At 51.0% G+C, this 21,590-nt stretch overlaps 1 protein-coding gene across 25 annotated transcripts in view, besides 7 other annotated features; it reads right to left on the reverse strand.

The window, feature by feature from the left end:
- Positions 1–8,680, reverse strand: part of KMT5B (lysine methyltransferase 5B) — a 58,786-nt gene extending 50,106 nt beyond the window's left edge. For 15 of the 25 annotated variants that reach the window (NR_161379.1, NR_161378.1, NR_161380.1 and 12 more), the window contains exon 1: positions 8,509–8,680. The gene's annotated coding sequence lies outside the window, so the exon portion shown is untranslated. Of the gene's footprint in view, positions 1–6,667; positions 7,619–8,165; positions 8,378–8,508 lie in introns of those variants that run through there. The other 10 variants (NM_001369429.1, NM_017635.5, NM_001369431.1 and 7 more) reach the window with 5 other exon arrangements.
- Positions 1,340–1,429: a silencer, noted in NCBI's record as "silent region_3661". NCBI's record gives its function as "represses an Ori minimal core promoter by ATAC-STARR-seq in GM12878 lymphoblastoid cells {active_cell/tissue: GM12878}" and the evidence as "EXISTENCE:reporter gene assay evidence [ECO:0000049][PMID:35858748]".
- Positions 7,565–8,034: a silencer, noted in NCBI's record as "silent region_3662". NCBI's record gives its function as "represses an Ori minimal core promoter by ATAC-STARR-seq in GM12878 lymphoblastoid cells {active_cell/tissue: GM12878}" and the evidence as "EXISTENCE:reporter gene assay evidence [ECO:0000049][PMID:35858748]".
- Positions 8,620–9,059: a silencer, noted in NCBI's record as "silent region_3663". NCBI's record gives its function as "represses an Ori minimal core promoter by ATAC-STARR-seq in GM12878 lymphoblastoid cells {active_cell/tissue: GM12878}" and the evidence as "EXISTENCE:reporter gene assay evidence [ECO:0000049][PMID:35858748]".
- Positions 8,620–9,708: a biological region, named in NCBI's record as "H3K27ac-H3K4me1 hESC enhancer GRCh37_chr11:67981441-67982143".
- Positions 9,006–9,708: an enhancer, noted in NCBI's record as "H3K27ac-H3K4me1 hESC enhancer chr11:67981441-67982143 (GRCh37/hg19 assembly coordinates)". NCBI's record gives its function as "activates a minimal SCP1, AML or CMV promoter by ChIP-STARR-seq in primed H9 embryonic stem cells {active_cell/tissue: H9 hESC(primed)}" and the evidence as "EXISTENCE:reporter gene assay evidence [ECO:0000049][PMID:30033119]".
- Positions 9,170–9,309: a silencer, noted in NCBI's record as "silent region_3664". NCBI's record gives its function as "represses an Ori minimal core promoter by ATAC-STARR-seq in GM12878 lymphoblastoid cells {active_cell/tissue: GM12878}" and the evidence as "EXISTENCE:reporter gene assay evidence [ECO:0000049][PMID:35858748]".
- Positions 10,494–10,788: a silencer, noted in NCBI's record as "tiled region #2086; K562 Repressive non-DNase unmatched - State 20:ReprD". NCBI's record gives its function as "represses a minimal TATA promoter and a strong SV40 promoter by Sharpr-MPRA in K562 cells {active_cell/tissue: K562}" and the evidence as "EXISTENCE:reporter gene assay evidence [ECO:0000049][PMID:27701403]".

A 21,590-nucleotide genomic window follows, 5' to 3' on the forward strand; every position in this document is an offset into this window, starting at 1 on the left:
ATAACAGAGATTATGAAAAACTAAACCAAAGTAGAAACGCTTTACAGTTACCACACTCCAAAAATACATAAAATTCCAACATGTCACAGGAAAAAAGATTTTAAACAACTTTTAAAACAGTGTATTTAAAACAAGTTTTAAAAGACTGGGCAACAAAGTGAGACCCTCATCTCTACCAAAAAAAAAAACAAAAAAAACAAGTAGCCAGTTGTGCTGCTGCGCAACTTCAGTCCCTGCTACTCAGGAGGCTGAGGCTGAAGGATCATGGGAGTCCAGGAGGTAGAGGCTGCAGTGAGCTATGATCATGCCACTGCACTCCAGCCTGGGTGACAGAGTGAGACCTCACCTTTAAAAACATAAATAAATAAAAAGTTTAAATCATACACTATCCTTCAACTGAAGGTATAAAATGCAGCTACTGAGTTATATAGATTTTGAAAATAGAGCCAGCCTCTTAATTACACCTCTGATTACTCACACACTTGCTAGGCCAGATAACCATGATCTTCCTGAATAGCATTGTAATTGAACATTTTTCTATTTATATTAAAACTTACAATAAAAACTGAAACTATTAGAATTTCTCATTGAGCAAAACATTTTAAGGAGCAAACTATCCACTACTGGTAAGTTTATGATCAGACATTCGCAATTCTTTTTTTTTTTTTTTCAGACGGAGTCTCACTCTGTCCACCAGGCTGGAGTGCAGTGGCATGATCTCAGCTCACTGCAAGCTCCACCTCCCGGGTTCAAGCCATTCTCCTGCCTCAGCCTCCTGAGTACCTGGGACTACAGACACCCGCCACCACAATTAGCTAACTTTTTGTATTTTTAGTACAGACAGGGTTTCACCGTGTTAGGCAGGATGGTCTCAATCTCCTGACCTCGAGATCCACCCACCTCGGCCTCCCAAAGTGCTGGGATTACAGGCGTGAGCCACCGCGCCCGGCCAGACGTTCGCAATTCTTAGACTTACTTATTTGGCTACTGATCTACAGCCAGACATGTAAGAAACTCCTAATTGCCTTATCACAGAAAATACTGCTTCATTCTTAAATATCACATTCAATACGTATTTACGACGAGGGATGTCATGTAAGAAAGACTTCATGTCTTCATCTCAGTAGTTATTTTAAAACAAAGGTTTTCACTGATGGGGTTGTTGAGGGAAAGTCCTCAAAAAAACTTCCAGAAGAAAACAAAAAATGCCTGCTTCCCCCATCTCTCCACATTTGATCCATCTGCTTACCTAGCAGTGCCTAGAAATAAAATCAAGGATGCTTTCTTTGTTACTGTTTTCTCTAGGACTCAAACAGCCATTCACGGTTCTAGAAACAGATGCCACCTAGTGTCAAATGACTGTAAGTACAGCCTTTACAGCCCACAGTTTCTGTCAGAAGTTACAAGAAGTACATCAAAGATTTTTACTGGGCAAGGACAAGTGTGAGGAAAAGCTTCCAAAAGGTGGTTCTTGGGCTGGACGTTAGAGGCCACTTTGAGTTTGCCAGCTGGTGGGCTTTGCAGAGGCAGCCCGCACAGGGATTAAGGATGTGGCTCTGCAGTCAAAGCACCTGTCCCACCCTAGCTTCATCCTTACCCCAGCAGTGTGAGCAGACGAGTTATTTAACTTCACCGATGCCCCACCAGTACAATGAAAAGAAGGCCTCCCTAGGTTTGGCACAAGATATTTTAAATGAGCACAAACTGCTAACAAATTAAGGTCTCCCCTTCCAAGTAACTAAGGCAAAAGTAAAGCAGGCCAGAAACATTCTTCACAAAACTTTAATCAAGTAGAAATTTCCCTTCTATTCCCCACCATAACTCACACATGAAAAAAAAAATCTCATCACCTCACCCATTTAAAAAAGAACAAATGTGCAAAAGAATAATTATGACACAAGGCTGAGCACCAGTTCTGCTTTCCCTACAGTTCCCAAAGAGAAGGAATGTAACTTCTGGCTGCAACACGCATGATTAAAAATCATGCCAAGCAGCAGGGCACAGTGGCTCACGTCTGTAATCCCAGCACTTTGGGAGGCTGAGGCGGGCGGATCACGAGGTCAGGAGATCGAGACCATCCTGGCTAACACGGTGAAACCCCGTCTCCACTAAAAATACAAAAAATTAGCCGGGCATGGTGGCGGCTGAGGCAGGAGAATGGTGTGAACCTGGGAGGCGGAGCTTGCAGTGAGCCAAGATTGCGCCACTGCACTCCAGCCTCGGCGACAGAGCGAGACTCCGTTTCAAAAAAAAAAAAAAAATCATGCCAAGCTACATCTCCCATCCTAAACATTCAGAGGGACCACAGACTGGACTACAGAGCTTCTTACAACACAGTTTAGTTTGTGGTGTACCTGGTCAAACAGATTATTTTCACACCCTATAAAAGAAGATACAAACATCACTGCCCTTTAACACACACTCAATACTATCATCCCCATTTTACAAATGAGAACAAAACTCAGAGAATTAGAAAAAAAACTGAAGTGAAGTCCAGGCTGAGAGACTGTGTACTGTTAATATCACACAAAAAAGCAACACAGGCCAGGCACGGTGGCTCACGCCTGTAATCCCAGCACTTTGGGAGGCCGAGGTGGGCGGATCACGAGGTCAAGAATTCGAGACCAGCCTGGCGAACATAGTGAAAATCCATTTCTACTAAAAATACAAAAATTAGCCAGGCATGGTGGCACCTGCCCGTAGTCCCAGCTACTCGGGAGGCTGAGGCAGGAGAATCGCTTGAACCCAGGAGGCAGAGGTTGTGGTGAACCAAGATCGTGCCACTGCACTCCAGCTTGGGCAACAGAGTGAGACTCCATCTCAAAAAAAAAAAAAAAACAAACCAAAAAACAACACAGAATAATGACCCAAACAAATTTTTTATTTTTTTAGACGCTGTCTCGCTCTATTGCCCAGGCTGGAGTGCAGTGGCACGATCTCTGCTCACTGCAACCTCTGCCTCCCAGGTTCAAGGAATTCTCTGTCTCAGCCTCCCGAGTAGCAGGAATTACAGGTGCCCACCACCACGCCCAGCTAATTTTTGTATTTTCAGTAGAGACAGCGTTTCACCATGTTGGCCAGGATGGTCTTGAACTCCTGACCACGTGATTCACCTGTCTCGGCCTCCCAAAGTGCTGAGGTTACAGGCGTGAGCCATCACGCCTGGCCCCAAACAAATTTTTAAACACACTTCGCCCAAGCCAGGCACGGTGGCTCACGCCTGTAATCCCAGCACTTTAGGAGGCCGAGGCGGGAGGGTCACGAGGTCAGGAGTTCAAGACCAGCCTGGCCAACATGGTGAAACCCCGTCTCTACTAAAAATACAAAAGTTAGCTAGGCGTGGTGGCATGTGGCTGTAATCCCAGCTACTCGGGAGGCTGAGGCAGGAGAATTGCATGAACCGGGACCTGGGAGGTGGAGGTTGCAATGAGCCAAGATCGCGCCACTGCACTCCAGCCTGGGCAACAGAGTGAGACTCTGTCTCCAAACAAACAAACAAAAAAACCACTGTGCCCCATATTTGAAGAGTAAAACTCTAGAGCAAAATAGACATCGTTCCTGACTGCATAGAGGTCAGAGCATACTATGGGAAGAGATGTAAGTAAGTATGTGGTTATCAATCTGATGCGAGCTGTAAGAAAAACAAACAGGATGTTAGGAGAGAGACTAATGTAAGAATGGACTTGAGATGGGATGATCAGGGAAATATAAATCAAAATTGTAAATATAAAAACAAGACCAGACATGGCAGCTCATCCTATAATCCCAGCACTTTGGGAGGCCAAGGCGAGATGATTGCTTGGGCCCAGGAGACTAAGGCTGCAGTGAACTGGGATTATGCCACTGCTCTCCAGCCTGGGAGGCTACAAGACCCTGTCTCAAAAACAAACAAACAAAAAATACCTTTTTTGGGTCAAAAGCCCTCCTGGTACTTATTTATATGCACCAAACAAATATTTGCTTTAAACCCTCCAGGACCCTGAATGACGTCTGGTTTTGTTTCCTTTCCAAGGGGGAAAGTGAAGGGGGGTTTCCTATGGTGCCACTGGCTCACTGGCTGAAGGATCAAGCCCCCTTTTACTTCTCAGTGAGGAAAGCTGCAGCTTCCTAAAATCAGATTGGTTTTCTTACTAAAAATATCTATTTCTCCATATGATGCAACATAAACATTGCCTCGAAAATAAAAATACTCCTCAGAGACCATTAAAATGTATCATACATTTCAACCGTGTTATACAAATCAGACAGGCAAAACAATTCATCGGGCCGACCTAGAATCCACTCAGTTCAACAAACTTATGAAGAACCTCCCAGAGCTGCCAGGCACTGTTCGTGGTGCTGGAATACTGGTCATGTCCAGGGAACACTAGAGGGCGTATGAGAGCTTCTACTTTCAGGAAAATCAGTCGTTGAGTCAGGGAAGAAAACCAAACAGATGCATAAGGGGAAAAAAAGTTAACAGGGTAGAAAAGTACAGACTAGGAAGCAGAATGACCCTTCACTGAATGGGCCTTTTGCGTAAGGCCTGAGAAGCAAGCCGAGTGCCATTAGAGATGTGCTGACCAGGCATTCCTATAAAGGTGGCACAAGGTAGAAACACAGGTGTCACAACACACACATTCGGTTTCTACTGGTTCCCCTAACATGCAGGACTCGGGATTCGCTAGCTCAGCAACCCTATCAGGTGAAACAGGTATTAGCACTACAACAAGGAGGCTAAAGCTCAGAAACAAATTGCTTTCCTAAACTCAAAGTGCTACTAAGTGGTAAGGGTGGGTCTAAAACCTTCATCTTTAAACTGCAGTCTGGGGTTTACTCCAGTGCTTGAGCCACGTGTACCACCTAGAGGTTTATCACCAGCAAATGATCCCCGGATCTAGGTACTGTTTTCTTTCCCCCTTTTTTTTTTTTTTTAAGAGACGGAGTCTTGCTCTGTCGCCCAGGCTGGAGTGCAGTGGAGCCATCTCTGCTCACTGCAACCTCCAACTCCCGGGTTCACACCATTCTCCTGCCTCAACCTCCGGAGTAGCTGGGACTACAGGCTAATTTTTGTATTTTTAGTAGAGACGGGGTTTCACCGTGTTAGCCAAGATGATCTCAATTCCTGACCTCGTGATCCACCCGCCTCGGCCTCCCAAAGTGCTGGGATTACAGGCGTGAGCCACCGTACCCGGCCGGTACTGTTTTCTTTAGTGTGCTATTACAACAGACAAACTAAGACAGCTTATAGAAATGCAACTGGCATTGTAGGAGTCATACAGGCCCCCAATCAAGCTTTGGGGGGGGGGACACTGATACCCTAGTCTCTCAATTCTAAAACCCAACTGATTAACTATCTCATAATGACATTTCAAAAAAAGGAGGTAAAACTACATGAAACATGCAGATGAACTAAGGTGATTAGAGAGATGTCAAAATATGATTAAAATAATTATTAGGAGAAAATAGGATGGCAGTGAAGTGTAAAAGATGAAGCATTAATACAATTTTGGATTGGAAGTGACCTCAGAGTCGTTTTGTAGACGGAGTCTAGGCCCTATCAATGACTTATACAAACAGTGATAGAGCAGAGAATGGAATAAGAATTGATTCTTATTCCATGGTCCTTCAACTATTCCTAAAATTACACTTCTATACAGCAGTCATCATTTGACATACGGCCCTAGAAGATGGCCTGGTGTTCAAGTCTGTCTCATTCGGAGACCGGCTAGCCCCAAATCAACCCCATCCAGACACATAATGGATCACCCCCTGCATTTACTTAACATGCAGTATTGTAGCTAACAGGGTGATGGAGCGGAGGGAGGACACATGGTCCCTATCGTCAAAAGTGTGAGGAAGATTCTTAACCATCAGAGCGTTCTAAGGCTGACATAGTCGGGGAACTCCTGACCACGGAGAAGGATTTTGCCAATGGAGAGATTTGCCAATGTAAAGCTCATACATGGTACACAGAAACACGAAATAATGGGACCACGGCGATTTATCTGAAAGGATTTGCTCTGTAAGCCATGGGAAGGGCATTCCTGTGGACAGGGAGCTGCTTAGATGCCACACACACAAATCTCTTTATCACACAACCTGGCCACGAACCCAGGCCCTATAAACCCACAAACTGATAATCAGGTAAAGGAAAATCAGATTCAACCTCCTTTTTAAATAACCCAAGAGAAAAATCACCAACATCCCCCACCCACTAAATTCTCTGCTGAAAGACACGCAGACACCGGGACACTTCCTTCACACGCGTCTCTCCCTGTCAGAGTCCGCTACCCTCCATCCACCTCCACCTTCCCCACTACTGTCCCCTGGCATTTGCTGCGAGAATAAAAAGTTCACTGCATGAGCAGTTCAGGGTGTTTGGGAAAGCAGATGAAAATAAAGGCGCGAGAGCACTTGGAAATGATCATGGATAAAGAATCAAGCCCTACCCTACTCTCTTATTGAAGAAATATCTACCATATTCCCTTCACTCTCCAGCTCAGTTTTTAAAATATAATTATGTTTGTAAACAACATTAAAGTGGATTTATTTTGAAAAACTAATACAAACTATTAAGCTTGACAACTTGGAGATTAATAAATTAACCCATTCATTAAGGGTCTATGAGCACCTACTCTGTACCTGCCCGTGGGCGGACGAGATAACAAGAGACTCAAAAACTCACGAGTAACCACCCCAACGGCTGTGTGTGTGAAGGTTTCACCAGGAAGCAACATTCTCACGGGGCCTTTCTGAAGGACAAGAGTGTACGGGGTGGAGAAAAGGGGTGGAGGAATGCCGGGCAGGGCACGGCCGACAGGGACCAGGTATGGGAAGCTATTGGAGCCAGAGCTTGGGAGAGGGACCAGAATGTCGAATGTTTAGAGATTACAAAGTGAAAAATGGGCTGGAGTTCCCACACAAGCCGGGATTAGAGCGTTTGTGGACTCTAACCTGGGAATATAAGGCGCTCCAAGAGGGACAGGGCCACACCTCTGGTTCAAATTGCTAAACCTTCAGATACACAATAAATCTGTATTTACAGCAAGCGGCAATTTATGTATTTCAACATGCACACATTATCTGTAATTATTTCAGGTAAAAATGGTTTCCTCCTCTTTTGAAAATACTTCTTTTTACTACTAATTATCAATATTATAGGCGTGTTCTCAATATTAAAGACTAAAGGAAAAAAGTTATAGCTGGCAACTGCTTCCTCTAAAGATCCTACACAGCAAAGTTCAGACCTGTATGGCCATCCTCAACTACACTTTATATCAAACTGGTTTAAATCGAAAAAGGTCCACATCACAAAGAACCACAATCAATCAAATTAATTCACCTGCCCTCTATTCTAAGGAAAACTCCCCCCACTCCAGGTAAATTTCATTTGGCAAATTCTTAAAAATTAACTTCAAAGAACACATGTTCACCTCCCCAGTATTCCGAAAGTTCCACCACTTAATAAATCGTTAAGTTACTGTTCCAGACCCGGGTCCAATAAACCCAAATAGACTGAATTTCTCAGCACCCAACTTGTTTCTATCTTAATCCAGCAAGTTGCATCGAGTTGTCATTGTTCCTCCTTCCAAGGCGGAGGTGACAACGGTGCACATCATCCGCGAATACGTGGAAGGACAGACACACACCAGGGGACGCAGGGAGAGCGGATAAAGCACAAAGGGGACGCAGCGGCCGCGGGGTCGCCGGGCCACGGCCAGGGGCGCCGTCGGGGAGGAGGGTGGGCTGCAGGACGAGCTCGGGAGGGCTCCGAAATGCGCTCGGGCCAAAACAAAAACAAAAAGTTCAGCGCGGCAGTGGGAGCAGATTGGGCGAGACGGTTCACGGCTGCCCATTGGAGAAAAGGGAAAACAGAGTCCCCCAATCGCGAGCGGCGGGGCTGCTCCCCTCGTGCGGCCGCGGGCCCGGCCCCGACGCTGCCCGGCGGCCGCTACCGCTCCCTTCCGGCCGCGGCCACCACTGCAGGCCCCGCGCCGGCCCCGCACCGGCCCGGCCGCAGCCCCGCCCCCCGCGCCCGGCCGCTTGCGCCCGGCCCCGGCCCCACCCGCCCTGGCCCCGGAGCCCTGCGACCGGCCTGGGCCCGCGGTCCCCCACGTCCCTGCCCGCCCCGTCACCGAGGCCGCCCCCCGCACACCCTCGCCGGCGCCCGCCCCTCCCCCGACTCACCGCCTGCGCCGCCCCGCTCCTCCTCGGGGCGCGTCCCAGGCCCCGCTGCCCGGCCGCTGCGATGCGGGGCCGCGCCGCCGGGCCCCGCGTCCCAGTCCCCCCCAGAAAATTAATCACCAAAAATAATTCCAGAGAAAAATGGAGAGTAAAATCCAAGATGGCGGCGCGGGCCGCAGCACCGCTCGCTCCCTCCGCTGACGGGAAAAATGAGTCCCCGCAGCGTCCGAGCCCCCCGCCCCCAACCGGCCGCCGCCGCCGCCGTCGCGCCCCCCGCGCCCCCGGCCTCGGCTCGCTGCGCCCCCGGCGCCCGCCCCCGCGCCCCGCCACCCGGGGCCTCACCTCGCCTCGCGCACGGCCGCCCGTACGAAAACCGTCCGCCGGCTTCAGGACTCCGCGTCCCAGGTCCGTGCGCCGCGCGGTGCCGCCTCCGGTTCCCGGGCGTCCTCACCTCATCGCCCCGCTGCCCTGCCGCCCGCACCGCCGCCGCGTCGCCGCCCCCGGTGAGCCGCCTGGACCCCGCCCGGGCACGGTGGAAGGATACGAAAAGAAGGCCGCGGCCTCGACGGCGGAGGGACACCGTGCGGCGCAGCTGCCACAGTGTGCGCGCGCCTCCCGCCAGGCCCAGCCGCCGCGGCGCTTCCACGGGGCTCTGTGCGGGACGCGGGCACGCGCGGGGAGCGAGTTCTGTGCCGGGCGCTCCCGACGGCGGAGGGACAAAGGGCGATTCAGAGCGAGCCGTCGCCTCCCCTCGTGGCGGAGGGATTCGCGGCCGGCCGGTAGGCGGCTGGGATCCCTCCGCCCTCGCTGCCCTTTAAATCGCGGCTGAGGCGGCGTCGCCCGCGCCCCGCGGGCGCCACGTTAGGGTCCCCTGCGGCCCTTACGCGACCGCATTCCGGTCCCGGTCCCCGCGGGACCGCGGCAGCTGTCCCGGGCCCTGGGTCTTTGCACACCTGCCCCTACCAGGGACGGCTCTAGAGCCAGCCTCTCGGACTGCAGCCCTGGGGAAGGGGACCCCCCCCCCTCCCGCCGCGCGTCCCAGTTGCTCCGAGGGAGGTGGCCCCGGGCAGACGAGCGTTTTTGTTGTGGGAATGGGGGTCACTGGCAGCAGATGCACCCTAAGACCGTGTGGGCAGGCTGAGCGTTCCTGCGCGGAGCATGCGAGGGAGGAGGAGAGCGGGCGCGCCTTGGCCTGGCCCCCCGCGGGCCCCGCCGCCCCCAGCACCCACTATGTGCCCCGCGCCGTGCTCCGCTCCACTCCGGGTGTGCCCTGCGCGCTGGCCGTGCGATCCCTCCTCGGGGATCCCGGGCTGGCGGGGAGATCCTGAGGGACCGGGCCGCCTGCGAGCCGGGGAGCTGCGAAGCTTGCCTGGGCATCGATCTTGTAGTCCAGACAACAGAACGATGAGCGCGCTCCCGGCCCCTGCGGGGCTGCCCAGGGTCTCCGCGCATCCTCCCTCTCACGCGTCAGGACGACCCCCGGAGGTGGGGGCCATGTGGGTGCCACTTTACACCTAGGGAAACTGAGGCACAGGGAGTTCCGTGACCTCTATGACAACTAGTCAGGGCTTGAGCCAGAGCCCTCTTTCAGCATTCGGGTGAAAAATGCAGAATAAATCAGGAAGCGGGTGCGGAGGACCTCCAAGAAGTTGAGGTTGGCATAGGCGTGCACATGCCTGGAACTTGGTGCCGGCAGGTGCCCAAGGAAGCGCAGACCTGGAGTGTGAATTGGAGCGTGTTGGGGAAAGGGGGTGCCTAGGATATGGGCGGGTAGTGGGACCAGCCAGTGTCAAAGCCCTGGGAGGGGAGAGAGGCTGCCCTTGCCACAGAGAGGAGGCGGGCAGGGCAGGCAGCTCAGTCAGATGCCAGGAAGAGCCGCAGCCTGCCTTAGTTTTCCCCTGCGGCTCCAGGGCCATCATCCTCCACAAAGGATGATGAATCGAGGCTGTGGACGACCACCCAACACAAGAACTGGACTAAGTCCAAGTAACACTGACGCACAGCGCCTCCCTCGTTTGCCCTCATTCTCGACCTTGACTTTGGCTGGTAGACATGATGCTCATTACCGCCTTCCACAGAGGGAAACTGAGGCACGGTGACTCGCTGAGGGCACATGGCTGACGGAGGCAGAAGCGGGTCTCATCTTCAAAACAGAGCTCCTCCCACTGCCTTCACCTGCCCTATCAGCAGCTTCCTCCTTTTGGAGGCCGATTCGGGTGTGGGCGGTGGGCACAGCCCAAGCACTTCTCCTGTCTGCCCTTTCACTAAAAGCAGCGTCATCTGTGGCAGCAGAATCCACTCTGCCACGTTCGTCTTTGCAGACGCAACTAACAAATGATTGCTTTGGTGTTCTTGGTTTCTGGTTTATCAGAAACTTTCCAAGATTTTCGTAGTGCCTGGCTCCAAATACTCAACTTGCACCCCAGAAACACTGAGCCTGCCTTTGCCACCCACCACCACCGAATGCCTATGGGAGGCGAGCTCACTAGGGGAATACCATCTGCCTCTAAGTCGACCTTGGTCTCAGGTCCCAAGTCCAGCTATGCCTGAGCAGCCCTCCAGAGCCCCCAAAGCCGATGTCCTGCCCACTCCCAGCTTTCCAGAGCCCACCCCAGCATAGAGGTGCTCTCCATGTGCCCTTCAGGGTGAACGCCAAATCCTGAGTCCTGTGAAGCCCCCATACTTCCAAGATGCAGACACTTCCATGTGTTCACTGCCTGATGCCAAGTCAAGTGTTCTGGACATTTCCTTGCAAGGCTGGGCCCACAGCCTGGCAGGGATACAGATGAGCAAACCCAAGCCCAGCCTGCTCCCAGGCCCCCAGTTCTGTGTGCATTCCTCCCTCAATCCCCCTACGTTGCCAGCTGCTCTTCCAGCCTCAGCTGAGAGGCCCAGGGTGGGCCAGGGCTCCTGGCAGAGCTGAATTGGGGTTCAGGACCTTGGTGGAGCCATGCAGGGGGCTTGAGGCCTTTGGGGGTCCCCACTCAGGGAAGCCAGGGCTAGGCTGGGCTGAGAGCACAGCCCAGGAGAGCCCTTCCTAGGGAGACTCCCACAGGAGAGGCCAGTTGGAGGCTCCTCCTGCCAGCTGGCAGGGGAGGGAGAGCAGGAAGTAGGCAGCCAGGCACCTGCCCAGTCCTGTGTGTCAGGAGCCTTTGGCATTTACACTGGGAGAGCTCTAGGCACCCCAAAGTGGAAGAGCTGAGCCACAGAGGCTGGGGGGCCTCCCCAGCCTGGCCGGACCAAAAGGGATTAACAGCTCTAAAGAAAGACCGAGTCAGCGGAAGGGGCCCGGCTGGCCCCGGAAGCACCGTGAGGCTGGCCAGGAGTGCCAGCCTAGCCCGGAGCTGGCCTAGGAGTGGCACGCTTGCCAGGGCACTGACTGAGGCCATGGAGTCTATTTTGGTCTCTCTAGCAGGTCTGGCTCTGGTGTGTCCAGGGGCACTCCAGCCTAGTGCCACCCACCCTGCTATGCTCTCTCGCTCCCTTTCCTCGAGTGCCAGGTTCACTCAGTGACAGGATGGCAGGGATTCACTTGCTTTGATCCTGTGCTTACTGGGATGGCCCACAGGTCACGTTGACCCCAGAATTCCAGGCTGGAGGCAGGTTGCTTTTCATTGTAAAGCGATATGTTGGCTTTCGTGCTCCGCACATGCGTCTGCCCCAGTCCCCACCCCGCCCGGAAGCTAGGACTCCTCTGATGGGAGCAGGTGTCTGAAACCGGAGGGAGAGTGGGGCGTACCCGGCTTTCCCAGTGGCCCCTCTGGGCGGCTGGCGGGTTTCCTGGTCACATTCCTGAGCACCACTACCCCCGGCACCATTCTTGCTTTCCACCTGCCCCTCCACTGCCACTGTCCTTGAATAGAAGAAGAAACAGCCACTGAAGCCGGGCGTGGTGGCTCACGCCTGTAATCCCAGCGCTTTGGGAGGCCAAGGTGGGCATATCACCTGAGCTCAGGAGTTTGAGAACAATCTGGCCAACATGGTGAAACCCCGTCTCTACTAAAAATACAAAAATAACTGGACGTGGTGGCGCATGCCTGTAATCCCAGCTACTCAGGAGGCTGAGGCAGGAGAATGGCTTGAACCCGGAAGGTAGAAGTTGCAGTGAGCCGAGATCATGCCAGTACACTCCAGCCTGTTTTTTGAGACTCTGTCTCAAAAAAAAGAAAAAAGAAAAAGAAACAGCCACTGAAAGGTCAAGTGACACACACGAGACCCCTGGTCAACAGCAGCAAGACTGTACAGCAGCTGCCAACAGAGGTTGGCACGAGTCTGACCTGGGTTTGAATCCTAGCTCTGCAGTTTACCAGCCATGGGATTTGGGACAAATGATGTAGCCTGTCAGCCCACCATTCCTTTACCTGTGAAAATGTCCATTCCTTGGACCTGTCTTAGTAAGTTCCTCTATAGCTTTACAATTGTTTATGTGCTTCAGATGCTCAAATTCTCTCTCCAGCCTGGACTTCTCTGAACTTCAGACAACACTACTTCGATGCTTAATAGGCATTTCAAATATAACACGGCTAACCTGGGGGACACACGAAAGCAAAACCCTCTCCTCACACACCCTTCCACCTCTTCAAACAGGTACCGTTCCACCACTCAGGTCCAGGTCCAGGACATAGTTTTCTTTTTTTTTTTCTTTCTTTCTTTTTTTTTCTTTTTTTTTTTTTTTTTTTTTTTGAGACGGAGTTTCACTCTTGTCGCCCAGGCTGGAGTACAGTGGTGCACTGTCGGCTCACTGCCACCTCCACCTCCCAGGTTCAAGCAGTTCTCCTGCCTCAGCCTCCTGAGTAGCTGGGATTACAGGCGTGTGCCACCGCGCCCGGCTAACGTTTGTATTTTTAGTAGAGATGGAGTTTTGCCATGTTAGCTAGGCCAGTCTCGAACTCCTGATCTCAGGTGATCCGCCTGCCTTGGCCTCCCAAAGTGCTGGGATTACAGGCGTGAGCCTCCATGCCCGGCCAAGACCTAGTTTTCATTCTTCCTTTGTGGCTTCAGGGTTCTTTCTCCTTAGCACATACGACAGCTCTAGCATTCTGTATCTTTCAGTATTCATCCTAGGGCTGACTCTCCTTTTAGACTATCAGCTTCTCAAGGGCAGGGAGCTTTGTCTGTCTCATTCATTGCTGTGTCTTCAGCATCTGGAACCACCCCTGGGGACAGAGTGTTGAGGCTTCTATGCTTTTGCTGAAGGGAGGGAGGGAGGAAGAGGGAAAGATAATACTAACTTTCCAGGGTTGCTACAAGGATAAAGGGAGGTGCAAGGGGCTCTGTAATCACTCCCCAAATTCTGGGGGCTCAATCTTGCTTTGTTGACAAGGCTTCTCCACCACCCACCCCACAAGATGTGTAGCGTTCCAGCTCACGGGTGCCCTGGGGGTTGTGTGCTCAGCACCCACCTGGGGCAGTGGGACAGGCACCAAGAAAATTTCCCTGTCACTGAGGATGTTGTTCCTTTGGGATCCCATCACACACCTTTTCATCTCCCCTCCCCCAAATAAAACTCAGCCCTAACCAGCCCTCTCTAGAAGCAAACACAGAGAGGACTGACAGCAGCTGGCAAAGGTTTCCTCATGGGCACGGGGAGCTTTGTTTTTTTATTATTACTATTATTTTTTAATAATTTCTGGCCAGGTGTGGTGGTTCACACTTGTAATCCCAGCACTTTGAGAGGCCGAGGTGGGCGGATCACTTGAGGTCAGGAGTTTGAGACCAGCTTGGCCAACATGGAGAAACCCCCTCTCTACCAAAAATACAAAAACTAGCTAGGTGTGGTGGCATGTGCCTGTAGTTCCAGCTACTTGGGAGGCTGAGGCACAAGAATCGCTTGAACTCAGGAGGCAGAGGTTGCGGTGAACCGAGATCATGCCACTGCACTCCAGCCTGGGTGACAGAGCGAGACTCCATCTCAAAAAAAAAAAAAAGAAACAAAATCAAAAAAATGAGATGTTACAACTGAAGCAGTTTTGATTTAACCCATTATGGGTGATGTCCACTTGGGTTACCCGTCATGTGGTTTAGGGGTGTCCAGGCTTCCCCATCGTCAGGTCACTTGCTTGCCCATTGTCATAAATAAGTTTTCTGTGGAGAGGTTCACTGAGGGGATGTGAACATCATTCCTCACCACATTTTATATATATATACACACACACACACACACACACACACACACACACACATATATATATATATATTCTGGTATATATATATATATTCTGGTTTATATATATATATTCTGGTATATATATATATTCTGGTATATATATATTCTGGTATATATATATGTGTATATATATGTATATATATGTATATATATATGTGTATATATGTATATATGTATATATATATGTGTGTGTATATATGTATATATGTGTATATGTGTATATATATGTGTATATATATGTATATATGTATATATATATGTGTATATATATATATCAGAATGGATTTTTGGGTTCCTAGTTTTGTTCATTTGGTGTCTGTTCCTTCCTCTCTCCTCTTCTTCTTCCACCCTTTCTTTCTTCCTCTTCTCTTTCTCTATTTATTTCTCTCTTTCCCTCCCACTCTCTTTATTTCCTCCTTTACAGTTATTTGTGGTAGCTTTATTTATAGTAGCTGTAAACTGGAAACAACCCAAATGCCAACCACCAAAAGAATGGGTAGACAAATTGTGGTCTCTCCATGTGATAGAATCCTGTTCAGAAATAAAAAGGAACGGACCACTGTTACAAACACCATAGATGAATTTCAGAAACATTACATTGAGACAAAGACGTCAGAAACCATAGAGTAAAAATTGCTGGGTTCCAACAATGAGGTCGTGGAAGAGAAAAATCCCCTAATCTATGGTGATAGAAGTCCAAGGGGTCATTAGCTTCTGGCAGCTGGGATTGCCCATGAGGGGACATGAGAAACTGTGGTGAGATGGAAATCTCTGTTTCTGAGGGCTGATTGCCAGGGTGTGTATGTTGTGAAAATTCTCAAACTGTAAATCTAAGTTCTTTTTTTTTCTTTTCTTTGAGATAGAGTCTCACTCTTCCACCCAGGCTGGAATACAGTGGTGTGATCTCACTCCCTGCAGCCTCGACCTCTCTGGGCTTAGGTGATCCTCCCATTTCAGCCACCTCAGTAGCTGGGACTGCAGGCACTCACCACCACACCCAGCTAATTTTTTTTTTTTTTGGAGATGGTGTCTTGCTCTGTTGCCCAAGCTGGAGTGCAGTGGCACAATCTCAGCTCACTGCGACCTCTGCCTCCCAGGTTCAAGTGATCCTTCTGCCTCAGCCCCCCTAGTAGCTGGGATTACAGGTACGTGCCACCATGCCCGGCTAATTTTTATATTTTTAGTAGAGACGGGGTTTCGCCATGTTGTCCAGCCTGGTCTCAAACTCCTGACCTCAGATGATCCACCTGCCTCAGCCTTCCAAAGTGCTGGGATTACAGGCGTGAGCCACTGTGCCCAGCAACACCCAGCTAATTTTTTTGAAATTTTTTTGTAGAGATGGGGTTTCACCATGTTGTCCAGGCTGGTCTTGAACTCCTGAGCTCAAGCAATCCCCCCGCCTCGGCCTCCCAAAGCTCTGTGATTACAGGCGTGAGCCAAATCTAAAATCTGTGCAAATCACTGCTGCAAATTATGCACTCAAAAAAGAGGGAAATAATCTGGAGAAATGCTACTGCTCAATGAAAACTTCAGTTTTTCTATGACTTATCTTGACAAGCAAATTCTATAAAATAGTTTTTTCTCGGGTGTTTCCCAGACATTGCTTCTGAGAAGACCCAGGTTCATGGTACAGGTTCCAGGTTTAAGGTGCAGATGAGGAACCTGAAGAATCTTGTTCCTTCAGCCGAAGCACTGTTGGTGCCAATTATTGCTGCAGATATTTAAAGGGAGGAGGCGAGCTAGTCGTGGTGGCTCACGCCTGTAATCCCAGCACTTTGGGAGGCCGAGGCAGGTGGATCGCATGAGGCGAGGAGTTTGAGACCAGCCTGGCCAACATGGCGAAACCCCGACTCTACTAAAAAATACACACACACACACACACACACACACACACACACACACACACACACACAAACTAGCTAGGCATGGTGGTGTACACCTGTAATCCCAGCTACTCAGGAGGCTGATGCAGGAGAATTGCTTGAATCTGGGAGGCGGTGGTTGCAGCGAGCCGAGATCGCACCATTGGACTCCAGTCTGGGTGACAGAGTGAGACTCAGTCTCAATAAATAAATAAATAAATAAAAAAGGGAGGAAGAGAAACTGTCCCTGCTTCTAATAGACGTGCTGGAACCTTCTACCAGCATGCGAGCCTCCCTGCTGCAGGCCCCTCCAGTCACCTCCCAGCTGCTGCCTGGTCTGTGCTGATCTGGAAGCCTCCAGCCAATGCTGAGTTGACCTGGGTCTTCTCTGGCCGGGGTATGTGTGGTTTATGTGGAATCAGCCAATTTTGCTCTGTCTCATAATCATTCCCTTACATTACGCCTCATAGACACACTTTGGGGTATTGGCTTGTCCCTTGATAAATTCCAAGGGGTGGCATTTCCTGAGCCAAAAGTCCAGATGGTTTTCCTCTAGGGCATTCTGGGTGGCCATGCAGAGAGGGTGACTGGGGGCCTCAGCCCTGCATGCTCAGTGCACAGGGCTTCCCAGGCGGGGGCCATTAGAGACCTAGAAGCTCCCTCACCATGGGGACTGAGGGACTTAGGCTGTCTCTCCATATGGTGGTCAATGGGTGTCAACTTGACTGGGCCATGGGACACCCAGATAGCTGCGTAAACAAGATTTCTGGGCATGTCTGTGAGGGTGTCTCCGGAAGAGATTAGCCTTTGAATCGGGTGGACTGAGTCAAGCAGATGCCCGTCCCCCCCAGTGTGGGGGGCCTCATCCAACCCACTGGGGGCTCAAATAGAACACTAGGACTTCAACATATGAATTTGGGGAGGGGAGGGCACAAACATTCAGTCTATAGCAGAAAGGGAAAGGGGAGAGAAAGAGTAGAGTTTAATTTTTAAACCCTCCCTGGAAGTGAGAAAAATTAATTACAGCAAAGAAGAGAAAGCCAAGAGTTAAAATTCCAAATCTAAACAGGCTGCCAGGGGTTAGGCAGGGGAAGTGCTGGACACAGGGCCCGTGCTAGAAAAGCACAGTTATTGGCCGGGCACGGTGGCTCACGCCTGTAATCCCAGCACTTTGGGAAGCCGAGGAGGGTGGATCACGAGGTCAGGAGATCGAGACCATCCTGGCTAAAACGGTGAAATCCCATCTCTACTAAAAATACAAAAAATTAGCTGGGTGTGGTGGCGGGCACCTGTAGTCCCAGCTACTCGGGAGGCTGAGTCAGGAGAATGGCATGAACCTGGGAGGCGGAGGCGGAGGCGGAGGTTGCAGTGAGCCAAGATCACGCCCCTGCACTCTAGCCTGGCCAACAGTGCAAGAAAAAAACAAAACAAAACAGAAAAGCACAGTTATTGTGGCCACCCCATCAGGGGTTCTCTGACTCTCAAAACCAGGCCCTTTCCATGGGGACCAGTTGCTGCTGGGGGCAGGAGAGGCAGAAGTCCCTGGCCCCTGGCCTCTGGCCCCTGTTACACCTTCTGCCTCCTGTGTTTCCTTCTTATTCCTTCTGGGAACAGAGTTTCTAATAATAAAATATATCTTAAAGGCAAAGGTACTCCGGTAGGAGAGGGACCAGGGCTTGGTTCAGGCCTGCATTCTGCAAACAATTGCTTTCTTAATAAAAATAACAGGCCAGGCGAGGTGGCTCACACCTGTAATCCCAGCACTTTGGGAGGCCAAGGCGGGTGGATCACCTGAGGTCAGGAGTTGGTGACCAGCCTGACTAATATGGTGAAACCTCATCTCTACTAAAAATACAAAAATTAGCCAGGCGTGGTGATGCATGCCTGTAATCCCAGATACTCGGGAGGCTGAGGCAGGAGAATCACTTGAACCCGGGAGGCGGAGGTTGTGGTGAGCCGAGATCACGCCATTGCACTCCAGCCTGGGCAACAGGAGCAAAACTCTGTCTCAAAAAAAAAGAAAAAAGAAAAATAATAACGCCACACACACACATGTTCGTATTGTTTTTCACAACAGCCAAAAGGTGTACACAACCCAAGTGCCCATCAGTGGATGAGGCGTAAACAAAATACAATACACCCAAAGCATGGAAGAGTATTCAGCCTTAAAAAGGAAGGGAATTCCAACATGTGCTACAACGTGGAAGCATCTTGAGGACATTAGGCTGAGTGAAATGAGCCAGACATAGAGCACGAAACCGTGTGATTGCTCTTATGTGAGGTATGTAGGGTAGTCGTATTCACAGAAACAGAAAGTAGAATGGTGGGTGCCAGGGGCTGGGGAGGAGGAAATGGAGAGTTGTTTAATGGGGACAGTTTCAATTTTGTAAGATGAAAAGAGTTGTGTGGATAAAGTAATGATGACTGTAGCTCAACTATGTGAATGTGCTTAATACCACTGAACTATACACTTAAAAATGATTGAGGCCAGGCACGGTGGCTCATGCCTGTAATGCCAGCACTTTGGGAGGCAGAGACAGGCAGATCACTTGAGGTTAGGAGTTCCAGACCAGCCTGGCCAACATGATGAAACCCCATCTCTACTAAAAATACAAAAATTAGCTGGGCGTGGTGGCGGGCACCTGTAGTCTCAGCTACTCGAGAGACTGAAGTGGGAGAATCACTTGAACCTGGGGCGGGTGGAGGTTGCAGTGAGCCGAGATCACACCACTGCATGCCAGCCTGGGTGATAAAGTGAGACTCCATCTCAAAAAAAAAAAAAAAAAAAGACTGAGATGACAAATTTTACATTATGTGCATTTTCGCATAGTTTTTTTTTTTTAAAAAAACAAAACAGCAGCCAGTTCACTGAATTTCCACCATGTGCCATGACTGGGTAAGGCTCTGATAGAGAACATTGTGATCTGCATTTATAGATGGGGAAACTGAGGCTCGGAGTGGCTTACCCAGGGCCACACAGCCTTAGTGGCAGAGCTAGTGCGCTGACCCCTCTGTTGTGCGGCTGAGGTGTGAGAGTGCCCCCCGGCGCTGCATGAGCCGCCAGGGCTATGACTCCAACCTCCTTTGAAGGAGGACACTCTTAGAATCTCATCTGGGACCTCAATTTTTAGCATATTCTGTCCTCTTGTTGCAGAAGATGGGGTCCTTTTATTTTATTTTACTTTTTTGAGGGACGGAGTCTCACTCTGTTGGCCAGGCTGGAGTGCAGTGGTACCACCTCAGCTCACTGCAACCTCCACCCCCGCAGATTCAAGCAATTTTTGTATTTTTAGTGGAGATGGGGTTCCGCCACGTTGGCCAGGCTGGTCTCGAACTCCTAACCTCAGGCAATCCGCCCATCTCGGCCTCCCAAAGTGCTGAGATTATAGGCGTGAGCCGCCGAGCCCTGCCAGATGGGGTCCTTTTAAATGCTGTCCTGGGGGCTTTCTGGCCATTGCATTCTTTTGTGAGTTAAGAGTCGGCTGCTGAGTCTGCCGTCCAGTCTTTGGCGTCAGCTCACTACTGCCATGCTCTCCACCATCCTGGTGGCTACTGTTGCCTCCATGCCACTCAGGTGCAGGAGCAGCTCAGGCCCGTGCACCTTTCCCACCTATGTGCCACCTCAACACGTGAGCATCTTAGCATTGTGACGCTACAGCGGGCTGCAGCGATCGCCACTTTGCTCCTCAGCAGCAGGCACCCGGTGACCCTCTGGCTGGCAAATGAGCCCTTCTTAAGGGACTGCTTCCTAGGCCCACCTCTGATACCAGCTGTCTCAGGCTGGGTCCTCTAGAAGCAGACCCCGAGAATATGATTTGACAATGAGTCCTTTATTTGAGAAGTGATCCCAGGAAGCACCAGTTGGGGAGCAGGTGAGACGGGGATGGGGAAGAAGCCAGAAGAGATGGTGCATTCATAATCCGGTTACTGCTGCAGGCTCAATTCTGCTGGGATCCTCCAGGCAACTGTGAGGATGTGCTTCAGTGTTCTCCAACTGAGGCAAGAGAGCTGGGGTATTGATCCACCACTTCTGCCAGTCATGGGATTAGGGAAGCTCCCTGGGATTGCAGGCTTGTGCAGCCAGGGAGTGCCCTCGAGTTAAGGCACAGATGCTTACAGCTGGAAGGGTTGGGGGCATGGAATAGTGGGGGCTGAAGGGAAGTGGATGGGCATTGTCAATGTCTGCAATAAAGCAGAAAAACTACTGTTAAACTTCTTTACATTTAGAGCCCTACTCTTCTGAACCCTTCTCAACTCAGTCATCGACATCCATAATTTTTCAATCCACACTCTTTCTGCCATCATGAATGTTGATGGTACAGCATTTCTCAAGAGTGATTGTTCCAGGCTGGGTTCCCAGGAGGCTGACTCTGAGGCAGAGGACATGCAGGAAGTTGGTTAGAGGCTGCTCTTGGGATCAACGCCTTTGGAAGAGAATGGAATGGAGGCAAGCAGGACTGGGCTGAGGGAGAAGCTGGCCTGGGATGCCAGCCCCCGTGGGGAGCTCTGAAGATGAGGTAGCCCTTGCACTTCCATGCCAGGCTGTCCTGGGAAGGGAGCATGTCATGGGGTGGGCAGCCTGCATCAGCTGAGGCCGTCCCTGAAGGGGGCCACCTGCCAAAAGCATTGCAGCAGCTGGCCAATGGGCCTCCCACTCCTAAGGGTGAATGTGAGCAGTGCAGGAGAGCATCCGCCACAGTCCTCCCCTTTACTGCTTGGATCTGCTTCTCCACGTCCAGGATGGCCGCTCCCTTTTCTGCCCGGGGACCTTCTCTGGCCACAAGGGAGCAGGCACAACCCAGCCTTGCCCAGGAGGTGATGCTGTGGGCAGCCGACAGATAACCCATCAGCTTCACCTCTGTGGGATGACTCCTGGGTGAGTTCCATGTGGTTCCTCAGGCAGTCACTGGCAGGAGAGAGCCCTACTCACCCCCAGTGGCGAGACCTACTTGTTAAAGCACTTTCTGGAACTTTCTCCTCCCCTGCCTAGTTCCTCACTTCCTGGAATACCTGCTTGCCCTCGAACCCTTGTTGCAGGGTCTGCTTTTGAGGGAACTCCAACCAAGATGGGCCCAATGCAGACGAAGAGGCTGAAAATAAAGGAGAGTGTGCAGGGAGGAGCAGGGTCCCCAGGAGGCCTAGGAGGCTGACGGCGTTGGGCGTTCAGAGGGAGAGCTGCGTTAGGCAGGAGGGGCAAGGGTGTCACTTGCGGGGTAAACATGGACACTTCTGGGGGTGGGCCGCAGGTGGATGAGGAAGTTGCTTTCTGATTGCATCTGGTTTCTCTGTGAGGAAGGAGGCGAGGTGAGAGTGAGGGTGGCTGAGGAGGAGATAAACAACTTGAGGAGAGTGGAGAAGGCCCCGACGGAGAAGGAGAGAGCAGCCTAGGAAAATGG

This window comes from Homo sapiens, chromosome 11, assembly GCF_000001405.40.
Source record: "Homo sapiens chromosome 11, GRCh38.p14 Primary Assembly".
NCBI lineage: Eukaryota > Metazoa > Chordata > Mammalia > Primates > Hominidae > Homo > Homo sapiens.